The sequence below is a fragment of the Homo sapiens genome, chromosome 1, assembly GCF_000001405.40.
Source record: "Homo sapiens chromosome 1, GRCh38.p14 Primary Assembly".
Taxonomy (NCBI): domain Eukaryota; kingdom Metazoa; phylum Chordata; class Mammalia; order Primates; family Hominidae; genus Homo; species Homo sapiens.
Genome location: NC_000001.11, coordinates 207,467,873 through 207,481,351, shown reverse-complemented (window position 1 = coordinate 207,481,351; position 13,479 = coordinate 207,467,873). Strand labels below are relative to the sequence as shown.

The following is a 13,479-nucleotide window of genomic DNA, read 5'->3' as shown; positions in this document are numbered from 1 at the left end:
CCCCAGTGTACACAAGAATTGAATAGGCGTGCTTTATCTGATAAAGAAAACTATGACCAATGGTGAAGGGATGGTTTACTCAAAATAGGTTTTGAAAAAATTGAATATATAGGGAAAAAAAGTACAAGTAGGTTTACTTCAACTACCATACCATAAAATAAATTCCTAATGGATTAAGATGTTTAAAAATAATTAAAAATAATATGCAAAAATATATCTAATTTCTGGATAAGAAAACATAACATACCAAAACATAGAAACGTAGTAATATAGTTAATATTAAGTAATCATGAAAATGACTAAGGGAGAGAAAAGATTACTTGATCAAATGGAAAGACCTAGTATATTTCTGAATGAGAAGACATTACAGAAAAGATGCCAATTTCTCACAAATTTATCTATAGACTTAAATGTAATCACAATTTTTTTTTGAAATTATAAATGATTCTAAAAATCACCTATAGGAACAAACAGAAGAGAATAGAGAGGAAAGTCCTATAAAATTGTAGTGTGAATTCTTGCCCTACCAGATATAATAACATAAAGGTATTAATTAAACACAAAGTGGTTTGTAATGGAACAGGCAAATCAATGAAGCAGGAAAAGGGGTTGAGAAACACGACATATCCCAGTACATTAAATATTACTAAGAACAAACTTCCTGGCAAGTCATCTGACAATAGTTATCAAGTATATTAAATGCTCATGCACTTATCTTTAGTAATTCTAGAAATCTATTCTAAGGAAATAAGTGGGTATGAAAAAAGGTTTAGCCAGAGGTGCTACTCCTATCTTTATATATTATCAAAGTAAATTTGGAAGGAACTTAAAACACATAAATACATATATAAATACACAGAATAGAATAATATGCTATTTAGTAACTGAAAACATGACTTAAAGCATAAAAACATAAACATGAGTCTAAATGAAAAAAATCAAGACAGAAGATGAAAATGACAAAATTTCAGTTTAAAGAGAGAAAAAATATACGAAAAAGATCAGATACGAATACACCAAAGTATTTGCAGTCGTTCCCACTGGGATTTTTTTCCTATTCTCTAGATTTGTTTACAATATACTATCTGAATAAACATCATTCAATAAAATAAGCTAAGTGTTTGATATCTCTTAAGTCCTACAGAAAGGGCTTCCTTTTGTATAGCACGAGATACTTCATTTAGTTATCACATTGCAGTATTTATTTCACATAACTTGTGCTTCTGTGTTTAGTTTCAGACAAGAAGCCGAAACCACTTGTGCATGTTGGTCAATCAAGTATTCGCCTTTGAACTTACCGTGCTCTGTGTTTTGATATCACGTATAAGGTAATGACAATCAAGAAGGTAAGAAGTATCAAACCTGCAGCAATACCTAGAAGAAAAATCCAGCAAGTATCAAATGCCAGAAGACGATCACCTACATTGTTCTGACTGATTGCAGGGCCTATTGCTAGTGGTGGGGAAAATGTTATGTGACTCATACTTAACTCTTCTTGGACATAAATGCTGAATTCCTGAATAATCATAGTTGAGCTTAAGGTTTTTCTGATTTGATCCAGTCCACCTTTAATCTAAAGCACCAAGCACATGACCACAAGGTTCCAGTCAACTTTTCATTGAGTTTTTCTGTTCCTTTTAGTTTTATTAGTAACAATCTTGTCACTGAGGTGACAAGAGAGAAATCTCAAGAATAGAAATTAGGTGCACAGGACACCAGGTTCTTATAATTTTGCATAACATTTAACTCTCAGCTGTGAAATGTATTTTGCTACAGCAGAAGAAGCCTGCCTATTTCAATAGACCAAATCAAGCCAAACACCAACAGTTAATAAAAACTAAAATATCAATTTAAAAAGAAGAAAGAGCTGGCTGTTCAAATAATTTATCCAACTCTATGCCAAAGTGACATTTTGTAATGTGACATGTACATTGAAGTATCTTTAAAACACCAAAAAGAGAACATTCCCTATGAGTTAAATATATCATCAGATAGGATATAGGACCTCTAGCATTACATATTTTTAAAAAATATTATAAGAGCTTTTCTTCAAGTATTTAAGAAGACTTACCACAAAGGACAGGAGCAAGTGAACCTAAAAATAGTACAAAATCATGAAAATGATTATCAGTATAGTGTCATAATTCAATGTAGCCCCACGTTTCATGGTAATGTCCCAGAAATCAACACTCTAGCTCCCTTCCAAGTCGATTTAAAAGATGTACTGGGGCCAGGCACAGTGGCACATGCCTGTAATCCTAGCACTTTGAGAGGCCAAGGTGGGAAGATCACTTGAGCTCAGGAGTTTGAGACCAACCTGGGCAACATAGTGAGACCTTGTGTCTATTTAAAACAAAAACAAAAACAAAAACAAAAACAAAAAACAACAGATAAAAAAGATGTATTGGAACCTTGAGTTATATCCACTTGTTTCTTATGTAGCAACTCACTGGCCTTTTTTTTTCACTCTAAGTAGATTGGGGGAGTCCACCAATGACAAAAACAATATACTCAACTTTATAATCAGAGATTTCTCAGGTTAGAATGCAAATATTAACTGTAACAACTATTTATTTAACCTATTTCTGGAGTTCCCTGTCAAATTGTAAGCACTTATTAACTCAGATTCAGCACGTAGGGTGGTCTATGCAGCAACTCCTTTCAAAATTTCAGGTTGCTTGTTTCACATTTTTGTTCCTTTTAAATTAGTGTTTCTATTTTCTTTTCTTCACTTTCCCCATCCTAAGAAAGTTGTGTTTTTTCTTTTCCTTTTTCTTTTTTATTTTATTTAATTTCTTTCTTTCTTTTTTTTTTTTTTTTTTTTTTGATAGGGTCTTACTCTGTTGCCCAGGCTAGAGTGCGGTGGTGCAATCATGGTTCACTGCAGCTTCAACCTCCTGGGCTGAAGTGATCCTCCTATCTCAGCTACCCGAGTAGCTGGGGCCACAGGTGCACACCTCCATGCCTGGTTATTATTATTATTTTTTTTTTGGTAGAGACCAGGTCTCACTACATTGCCCAGACTGGTTTTAAACTCCTAGGCTCAAGCAATCCTCCTGCCTCAGCCTCTCAAAATTCTGGTATCACAGGCAGAAGTCACGGACCTGGCCAAGCTGTGCTTTTTCTAGAATAGACCACTGACTTCAAGTTCCTCTGTAATTATACAACTGGTCACAAACCTATGTCAATTTAAAACCCAGGACTCTCCACGCTGAGGGAAACTCTCACTCTCTTCTCTCCGTTAGCCAGTTACAAGCGGCGGTGAAGCCCTTGGTACTTACGGGATCTGCAAACCGCCAGGGGAGGGTTCCATTGGTGATCCGATTGGCACTGGCTCTGGGGACTGCCTTCCAGCATATACCCATCTTCACACTCCAGAGTTACAACAGCTCCATACTGATACATTTTCCTTGGTTCCAGCCCTTTCTGGATTCCATCCATATCTGCTGGTGAGCTACAGTTTACCTCTGAAATTAAAGAAATCTAATTCAAGCACAGTCATATTTTGGCCTTTTACCAAGAAAGCAGAAATTTCCCTTAATAGAAAGATTTATAAAACCAACCTGTTTCACTCTCAGTAAGGAAAGCTGCACTGAAATAGGATAAGACTATATCCTAGACACAATCTTTTACTGTCAGCCCTCTATCTCAATAACCTCTGGGTAATTTAAGCCAGATTATATTTGTGTTTTTTGCTTCAGTTTCTATCCAAACAGTGATGGATAATTTTAATGGCTTCTTGGAGAAATGGTGAGGGCCGAATTGGTAATATTATGAAGTATTCTGAATTACTGTTATTTTCTGCTTCTAGTTTTACTCTCTAATTCTTCATACATGTGCGTGCTTTCTCATTTCTTTCTTCTTTTCAGTGTAGTCATCAATAGTGTGAGTGATATGGTTTGGCTGTGTCCCCACTCAAATCTCATGTTGAATTGTAGCTCCCATAATCCCCATGCGCCATGGGAGGGACCTGGTGAGAGGTCATTGGATCATGGGGGTGGGGTTTCCTGTGTTGTTTTTGTGATAGTAAATAAGTCTCATGAGATCTGATGGTTTATAAAGGACAGTTCTCCTGCACACGCTCTCTTGCCTGCCATCATGTAAGATGTGCCTTTGCTCCTCCTTCACCTTCTGCCATGATTGTGAGGCTTCCCCAGCCATGTGAAACTGTGAGTCCATTAAATCTCTTTCCTTTATAAATTACCCAGTTTCAGATATGTCTTTATTAGCAGTGTGAGAATGGATTAACACAGTGAGATCTTGGATTTGAAGCCTGGCTCTAGTACTTCCTAGATGTGTGACTTTGGGTAAGTTCCAAATCTCTCCATGCTACTGAAACCTCATCTATAAAACAGGGATAATCATGGCACCAACCTCATGTGGCTCTCATGAAGACTAAATGAAATAATGCATGTCAGGTGCTGTGCACAGTGTCTGGCATAGAGTAAAAAGTGTTCAATGAATACTAGACACTAATTTACTAGTCATATTTCATATGCACTGTTTATGACAATGAAAATGACTTTCTGAAACTTTTATTAAAAATGTACCCATAATCCCACCAACACTCAGTAAATATTCTCAAAAGATTGCTGTGCTTTTTATTGGTACTTTATCAAATACACACTTAACATAACTGTAACTACAGTGTGTAAATACAATCTGTGCTTTGGTTGTTTAATTTACAGACATAACTCCAACTTTCTATGTGTAAATGACTACATAAGTGGTCATTCACCAGATAGACTACAGCCTGAGACATTTTTTCTTATTTTGAGATATTTAATGATTGTATTAATCTAATTAAAGCCTTTAATGTAATCAGACAGTTAATTCATTTCTTTGGCTATTTTAAGTTGAAAGTACCCAACTGAATATATCTATTTGGCACAAATTTGATATAAAAATAAGAATAAAAAATAGACAAAGCACCTTTACAATGAGGGGCAGGTTGGCTCCAGGTTCCCTCATGTGTGCAAAGAAGGAGTGCCTCTCCCACCAGCAGGTAGCCTTGGTCACAGCTGTACAGGATTGACATTCCAGGAGAAAATCGAGCTATGTTTCCACCAGTATGGTTCCCGTTAGGGGTCTTAGGCGGAGGTGGACACCCTATGAAGGCTTAGACACCAATAAGAAAGGGTCTTTAACTCAGCACAGAGGAACACATAGCCTGCACTATCTCTGGGTGATAGCGATACAGGAAGGCCAGAAGCAACAAGCCAACTAACTGGTATCCAAAAACATTCATTCATTCCACCCAGACCAGCAACACTGGATGGAGATCTGCATTTCCTACTGATAGCCAATATGATTTGAAGAAAAGTGTTAAAAAATAAGATAATGAAACATTAATGGATACAGTTCACAATGGTAATCCATCAGCCAACAGTTTTCTTTTCCTTTCCCTTTAAATAGCAGACATGGTTACACCTTCAAATGTCTACGAGAGCTAGGAAGTGAAGCCACCAGATACGACAAGTCAGAGAGCCCCTGTCCTTCTAAAAGTGGCAGCCACTGCTCAGCTCAAGTTACTGGTGCCTTGCTGGGAAGCAAAGGGGGTCTTGTGGCTCGCAAGCTCACTATTTATCTTAAACTGAAGATGGGTTTCACTTAAGATTACTGTGCTGGTCAAAGACAACCGTTGCCAAACAGCCTCTGCTGTAGATAGTCATGGACAGGAATAAGGCTGCCAAATGATAACTACAATTACAAGAAAGACAATTCAATGGGTTGGAGGGCCAATTAATTCTCCAGAACACCCAAAGTTCTCTTTCTGGCTGGCAACATAGCCTTAAATATCAAATAATTAGCAATATTACTGCCAAACATTTGCCAAAAATGTATGTGCATTTTTCTTACACTAAAGTCATAACAATAACAATTTTTGGAGATGCTATCAATTTGGAAGTTAGCCATTATCCTTTCATGTACTATTTATTGCTCAATATACTGAGAAAGGAAAGAGAAAACAAACAATCAAGTGAGAAGATAGGAAAAGGCAAATATCTTGTAAAACAATATAACTGCCTTAGCTCTTAGATGCTTTTCTTTAGGCAGAATGTCAAGTGCAGATTCAAAACCTCTTTTCTTTATTCTGTACAACATCCCATAACTTATCCCTTCCAAGTATCTTACCTTTTTTGATACAAGTTGGCACACCTGGCACCCATGTGTTATCAGTATGACACCTAATCACGCGACTACCATTCATGATGAAGCCAGGATTGCAGTCAACATACACTATGTCATTGTGGGAATATGCAGAATGTGTTTTATTGAGCTTGTACCCATGTTTGACTTCTGGATTAGGGCAGCGAGTCACAGGAGGAGATCGTAAGCACTGTGGGGAAGGCCCGCTCCAAGATCCATGTCCTTTAGAATCACTTCTGCACTGCAATTTTTTCTCTCCCAGGAGATAGAATCCTTGGTCACATTCATAAGAGACTTCATTTCCATATAGAAAGTTTTCTGCCATCATGCCTGTGTGCTTCCCATTGACAATCACTGGTGGAGGGTGACAGTGAATAACTGCAGAAGAGATTTAGGGAGTTCTACTTCAGCTAGTACCTCAAGGTGAGCGGTCTTCATTCAGGTACAAATGACAATATGCAACTGCATATATTTCACATAACTAGAAAATAACTTAAATTTTGGAATATGGATTATGCTTTTTTTAAAAACAGCTTTATTAAATGTGATTATAGGAGTACTATATACTCCATAAAAATTCAGAAAATAGAGTAAAGTGTGAAGGAAGAAAGAAATACAGCTATGTTCCCATGACCTAGGAATATGGGCTATATATTTTGTTATTGTTAGCAAAATTAGCAGATGCATGAAAAACAGTTCCTACTTGACAATGTTGTTTCTCAGTGTCAATACTGACCAACACCATAAGATTTTTCTTATCTAACCTCCAATGAGGGAGACGCCTAAGACTGCTGAAGCAGCAGTAGACTAATTCTTCAGTGGCCTGCCCTCTCTAATCCTCCATTACCATTGTCAGGCTTTTATTTTTTCTAACTTACCTTTACAAAGTGGAATCTTTTTGAACCAAATTCCATTTTCAGCATCTTGACACATCTGATAAGCATGTCCAGTCAACTGGTACCTACAGAGAGACAGATTATAATGCATTTCCTGTTCCCAATATCATATCTCTTCAAACTGCATGCAAAAAGGGACTTCTAAATAAGAACTTTGGCAGAGAGGAGTTGAAATTCTAGTAAAAAACTACTTTTTTTTACTCCAAGTAAAAAAACTACTTTTGAGTTAAGCAAAGCCCTTTCCATGTCAAGAGACGACTGAAGAGTCAGAGTTGCTATTTAGGCCATTGGAACCTCATATTCTCCATGCCTGTGACAATGAGGAGCCTCTAAAGGATGCCACCAAGACAAGTTGAAGGTCAAGTTAATCCACAAAACAAGGTTGAGACCTTTTCTCAGAATAGACCACTTCATACTCACCCATCTTGGCAGGACGTATTAACTAGCTCCACACGTGAACCAGCTGGAAGTTCTTGAAGACTCTGTCTCACATGCTGGCATGTTTCTGGAGAAGCAAGGATGGAATTACAGTATTTATAGATGTCTCATATCAAAGAGAAGGACAACTCTGGAACTTAAAGTACCTTCACACCGTGGGGCAGAAGGACTCCAATTTCCTGAAGGCATACAGTGAATGGATTTGTTTCCCACAAGCAAATAGCCAGGGTCACAAGTGTAGTCTACAGTCATCCCAGAGACAAAGAAGACCGTATTTCCACCTGTATGACGACCATGGTGGAGCCCAGGAGGTGACTGGCAGCCTGAAGAGAAAAACTCCCTACATAAATACCAACACAGAGGAATTTCTACTCAAGAACACTAAGTGTACAACATTGGACAGACAGTCTGAAACTCTGATGCCAAAGATCATGAAGCTCAAATTCACTACTGAATGCTGTTTGCTCTTTAAAAAGGCTCTCTCATTATCTACCCTGAATAGATCCCAGATCCAAGGGGGCATTTGCATGCACACACACAACACAGAGAACATCTATTATAGGATGGAAGAAACAGAAAGTAATCTGTGCCCCTCTTGCCTCTTTCCATGATGCAGTTTTGGGTGGGAGATAATAAACAAGAATAATTAAGTAAATCTCTCCTTTTTTCCCCCTTATTGGGTTTTTACCTTTTTCACAAACTGGTATTTCAGGATCCCAGGTGTTATCAGCTTTGCAACGAATCTGACTACTGCCCTTCAAAGTAAATCCACTATAACACTTGAATGTCACAGTGTCATTGTAGAAATATGGGGCTTCCTTGCCAGATATCTTGTATCCATTTGCAATATGGACATGTGAGCACTGGACAGCAAGGAGGGAAAGTTTACACAGGGGAGCAGGGCCACTCCAGGTGCCTCTTTCTTGATCATTGCTTGTACAACGGATGGTGCTCTCTCCAATGAGGCTGAATTCCACTCCTCTTTCTGGCCCAGGGTTACATGTGTAAGTGACCGTGGTTCCATATGGAAAATCTTCTAAGGAACTCCCGGTGTGTGCCCCATTGTAGATAACAGGGGGTGGTGGGCAGGTGATTTCTAGAGAGATGAAAAGATACTGTAGAATTGAGTTCCTGTATTAGACACCAAAGAACAAAGAACCACCAAATGAAGCTGGTTATGAATCTGTTGTTTCCTGGACGGTATGGGTACATTTTCATGATGTGAGTTGTGTGAAAGCTCATTAAGTATGTAAAATGCAATTTAAACACATTTCATAGGAAAGAAAATCTTTATTCAAAGTGAATGTGGTTGATCAACATCACATTAGGAGTTAGTTAGGCCCAGTAGTAAATTGCTAATTAAAAGAAGAATTCTTTTTAATTAGGCAATAGGAGAATAAAAGACACAGGGTAATAGAATTATGCTTTCTTGGTTACTCTGTGCTGAGGTGATATGATGGTTTATATGGCTAGCTGAGAAAACTTATTGTTGAATGAGCACCTACTTTGTGATAGGCAGTTTCCTCATCCAGAAAGTAGCAATAGTACAATTTAATTTGAATAATTTGAAGTCTGTAGTGTTTTTTAAATTTTCTACGTTTCTTTTTACTTTTTTTTTTGAGATGGAGTCTCACGCTGTTGCCTAGGCTGGAGTGCAGTGGTGTGATCTCAGCTCACTGCAATCTCCGCCTCCCGGGTTCAAGTGATTCTCCTGCCTCAGTCTCCCAAGTAGTTAGGACCACAGATGCATGCCACCACACACAGCTAATTTTTTGTATTTTTAGTAGAGATGGGGTTTTACCATGTTAGCCAGGATGGTCTTGATCTCCTGACCTTGTGATCTGCCGCCCTCAGCCTCCTGAAGTGCTGGGATTATAGGCGTGAGCCACTGTGCCTGGTCCTTTTTACTTTTTATTTACATTCTCTGGACCTCCTAGTCTGTAGTCTTATGCCAACTTTACAGAAGAAAGGCTAGAGTTTCAGAGGAGTTGTACAAGTGGTCCAAGGTCTCACACTAGTAAGCAGTAGAGACAGAATGTGAATTCAGATCTGACACCTATCCCTTACTCTCTCCACTAAACTGTGGTATACCCAAAATTAAGATGGTGGCTCATATACTCACCGCTGTCATTATTCCCATAATCGTAAACCACAAAATAGAATCAGTAACAAAGTAGATTTAAGTTATTGATGAAGAAAAAGGTAGCAAAAGAAAGACATGGTAAAACTGTGCAACCATAACTATTGGCAGAATCAATAGAACAGAATCTAATACTCTAATTCTCATAACATGTCCCAAAACAAAAATCTCCCAGGAAATGTATAGATCTCACATTATTTCAGCTCCTATATCATTTTTGCTACTCACCTTTACAAAGACGAATCTCCATAAACCAAGGAATTGTGCCTTGACACTCCTGATAAACACTCCCACTTAACTTGTACCTAGAGACAGAGTCACGTATGTCATTTTGCCATCAGGTGACCATTAAGTTAGGCAAGAGCCATGGCTCCCAAGCAGACTCACTACTTTCAGGCCAAGAAGCAATAGCAACAAAAATGTAGCCAACATCAGCACCAACTTCTCATTGCACAGGCATAATTTCCATGCATGGAAAAATAGTATGATAGACACTTCCATGACCATGTGACAGGCAAGCACCTATGAGACAAACTCTTACATAGAGCTTGCAGGGTGTACTGATACAAACTCTTACATAGAGCCTGCAGTGTGTGCTGATACACCGGAATTGGGTCAGACTAAGTCAGCCTTCACTCACCCTTCACCACAAGAAGAGTTGACATCTGGTCTAACAAATTGGTGCTGGGGTTTTGTCAAGAGTTGCCTTCCTGTAGCTTCACACGCTGCCACTAAGAAAAGAGACTAGGATGAGAATTTAATTCAAGGCAATCTTAAAGTTAACAAAATGTCTACATTTGAGGCCTGGCACCTTTGCATTGGGGTACAGGGGGTGTCCACACCCCCTCAGAGGTACACTGTATGGATTCTTCTCCCACCAGCACATAGCCAGGGTTACAGCTATATTTTATAGATGTTCCAGGGTCAAAGCGGACCATGTGTCTATCTTCCTTTTGCCCATTGAGGATGTTAGGAGGGGCCTGGCATTCTAAATGAAAGGACAAAAACAAAACATAACTGCTTAAGTAAACAACCACAGAAAGAAACTGAGCCAAAGAAATTGATATTCATGCTATAATTCCACTCTGGCGTCAGCTGTATGATACAGAACATATGTTGCAGACCAGCTTTGGGTAATTTTAGATCACAGTTTCCCAATCTTTTGTTGTTGTTGTTGTTGTTGTTTTCTGCACAGAGGCTGCTGCAGATGTTGTTCACTTTCCACTGGGTTCTGCAACTCCTCTCCTGCCTCTTCCCTTCATAAGGAATCATCTTGTATGTTTTTTATGGGAGATTCTGATATATCCCTAGGAATGAGGGCTTGAATGACTTCTCTTTTAAGAAGTCACTATTAAGACAAACAAGCATTTTTCTCCTCATTTTTTCCCCTATAGAAATGAGAAACTTAGTGATTCCTAACATTTTTTCCAAGCATATTCCCACAAAATAAAACAATGGTGGGGGGCTAGTGATAAGAATGCCCTCTACAAAATTTATATTGATTAGATGTAGTAGATTTGAGGGAAGTATAAACTGGACAAGGCCCTACCTAAAGCCCACAACCCCTTCTTCTAATTTTTCAGAAACGAATCAGAAGCACCTTTTCTGAGTACCGGAACACTCACCCTTTTCACAGACTGGTGCAGATGGCTCCCATGTGCCTTGGGCATTGCATCGGATTTGCTTGCTGCCCTTCAAGGTGAAGCCAAACATGCAAGCAAATATCACAGTGTCGTTATAGGTATATCGATCTTTCTGCCCAGATACCATTCGGCCTCTTAGGATCTGGGGATGTGGACACTGAACCGCAGAAGTAGAAAGTTCACAGCGTGGGGCAGGGCCACTCCAGGTCCCAGTCTTCTGACTATCAACTGTACAACGGAGAGTGCTCTCTCCAATAAGGATGAAGTTCACTCCTTCCTCTGGGTCCGGGTCACAAGTGTAAGTGACTATGCTTCCATATGAGACATTTGCTAGTGAGTTGCCTATATGTCTTCCATTGAGAATAGGGGGAGGTGATGGGCAAAAAATTTCTAGGGGAATTGCAGAAAGAAATGACAAGATCATAGGTGTATTGAAAACAAAGAATGCCCCAGATGCTGCTTGATACCACTATCCTAGGACAGTGATATCCGAGTCTATAATGAATCAGTCAAGGCAGCTAAAGCAACATAATTTAGAAGATTGATTCTCAAGCTTCATTCCTGAGTATATGTACTCTGCTGATCCTTTGATTTCTTTTACCAAATACACTATTTTCTTTATGCATATGGTCTACCTACTTAGAAGGTCTGCATAGCTTTCAGAGGAGGGAAAGCCTAGGAACCCCATTTTACTTGAGGAAACAAAAAATAAGGATGCTTTGGTGAAGCACATATCCTTAAAGATCTCTAGGAGTTCTGTGTTCAGTAAGAGTCTGTAAGGTAATGACTGAACCAAAAGCTTTTAGTTAAGCTGAGAATGCAGTGCTGTCAGACCATAGTTGCCTAGCCTACCTTCACATACTGGCATTTTGGTCCAAGCAACTCCCTGTCCAGCAATTACACACCGACTAGAAGGTGGGCCTTGCAGTCGATACCTGGAGACAGAAGGTTGTCATTCAGAACTATTAGGCAGTTTGTGCTGAAGAACAGCAGCCTCTACTTACAATTCAAGACAAGTTCATTTCAATCAGTGTGCATCTGTTCCTTTTATCAGCATTACCTCTCACAACCCTACCCCAGACTGCCCAGAGATCCTCACAGAGGAGACTTCTGCAGGTTTCACAGTCCACACCACGCACACACAAGACAAATGAATTAAATCTCATAAATAATCCTGACACTCACCCTTCATCACAGAAAAAGTTTGCAGTTACACCAACCCGGAGAATTGGAGGCTCCTTTACCTTCCCATTGGGAAATCGTCCTAGAGATTTACAGCGTGCCTCTAAAAAACAAACCAAAGATGAGAAATGCATGGCAAATAACAGAACAGCCCAGATTCTTAAAATAGATTGTAAATTTAGGGTACCTTCACATGTGGGGGGGACAGCACTCCATTTTCCCGAAGACAAACAGTTAATGATCTTTTCTCCAACAAGCAAGTAACCAGATTCACAGCTGTAAGTCACAGACAATCCTGGAGCAATGGAGCCAACATTCTCACTTGTGTGATGTCCATTGTGGATCATAGGAAGTGCTGGACACTCGAGAGGGAAAACTTTACACACACATACCAGGAAAAAAAAGCCGTCAGATGATGCATCCTTCACAATCTAGAATCAAGGGGGTCCAATCTTTTGGCTTCCCTGGGCAACATTGGAAGAAGAAAAATTGTCTTGGGCCACACATAATATACGCTAACACTAATGATAGCTGATAAGCTAAAAAAATTGCAAAAAAAAAATCTCATAATGGTTTAAGAAAGTTTATGAATTTCTGTTGGGCCACATTCAAAGCCATCCTGGGCCACATGCTGTCCACGGGTAGCGAGTTGGACAAGCTTGATCGAGATGCTGACTTAGGATATGGATTTAAATAAATGACACATGATCTATGGTAGCCAGTTGGTATTAACTTTCAACCTAGTCTTTTAAAGATCAAACAGGTGTGGTTTAAGTGTATCCATTTTATGCCACAAATAGCCATAAATAGTACCTTATTTTTCATTTTTAGTTACACTATATGAATTACATTTGCCTTGTGAAAAATTTCAATTACCAAAAAAAGTCAATTTTCACCTATATTCTCACCCTATCCTTAAGCTTATTCTCTGTTCCAAAAGTAGCATGCTATCATTTCAAGGGCTATCCTGGTAGATATTGGCAATATAGTTTATTGGGATCCTATGCATGATACATATATACACCTATAT

The 13,479-nt window shown here is 38.9% G+C and overlaps 1 protein-coding gene across 2 annotated transcripts in view, besides 1 other annotated feature; it reads right to left on the bottom strand.

Moving 5' to 3' along the window:
* The window catches only part of CR2 (complement C3d receptor 2), a 35,565-nt gene that overhangs the window by 8,541 nt on the left and 13,545 nt on the right, over nt 1–13,479 (bottom strand). Inside the window, exons 3-18 of one of the 2 annotated variants that reach the window (NM_001006658.3) lie at nt 12,637–12,825; nt 12,453–12,552; nt 12,120–12,202; nt 11,250–11,657; nt 10,436–10,612; nt 10,265–10,355; nt 9,853–9,929; nt 8,173–8,580; nt 7,631–7,807; nt 7,467–7,551; nt 7,029–7,111; nt 6,136–6,528; nt 4,933–5,118; nt 3,282–3,467; nt 2,072–2,095; nt 1,299–1,374 (exon numbers count right to left, since the gene is read on the bottom strand). In NM_001006658.3, coding sequence (NP_001006659.1) covers nt 1,299–1,374; nt 2,072–2,095; nt 3,282–3,467; nt 4,933–5,118; nt 6,136–6,528; nt 7,029–7,111; nt 7,467–7,551; nt 7,631–7,807; nt 8,173–8,580; nt 9,853–9,929; nt 10,265–10,355; nt 10,436–10,612; nt 11,250–11,657; nt 12,120–12,202; nt 12,453–12,552; nt 12,637–12,825 — 2,743 coding nt within the window. The remainder of the gene's footprint in view (nt 1–1,298; nt 1,375–2,071; nt 2,096–3,281; nt 3,468–4,932; nt 5,119–6,135; nt 6,529–7,028; nt 7,112–7,466; nt 7,552–7,630; nt 7,808–8,172; nt 8,581–9,852; nt 9,930–10,264; nt 10,356–10,435; nt 10,613–11,249; nt 11,658–12,119; nt 12,203–12,452; nt 12,553–12,636; nt 12,826–13,479) is intronic. The other variant, NM_001877.5, reaches the window with a different exon arrangement.
* Nucleotides 10,876–12,075: an enhancer, noted in NCBI's record as "BRD4-independent group 4 enhancer chr1:207642622-207643821 (GRCh37/hg19 assembly coordinates)". NCBI's record gives its function as "activates an origin of replication core promoter dependent on BRD2, P300/CBP, MED14 and CDK7 cofactors, and independent of BRD4, by STARR-seq in HCT116 cells {active_cell/tissue: HCT116}" and the evidence as "EXISTENCE:reporter gene assay evidence [ECO:0000049][PMID:35650434]".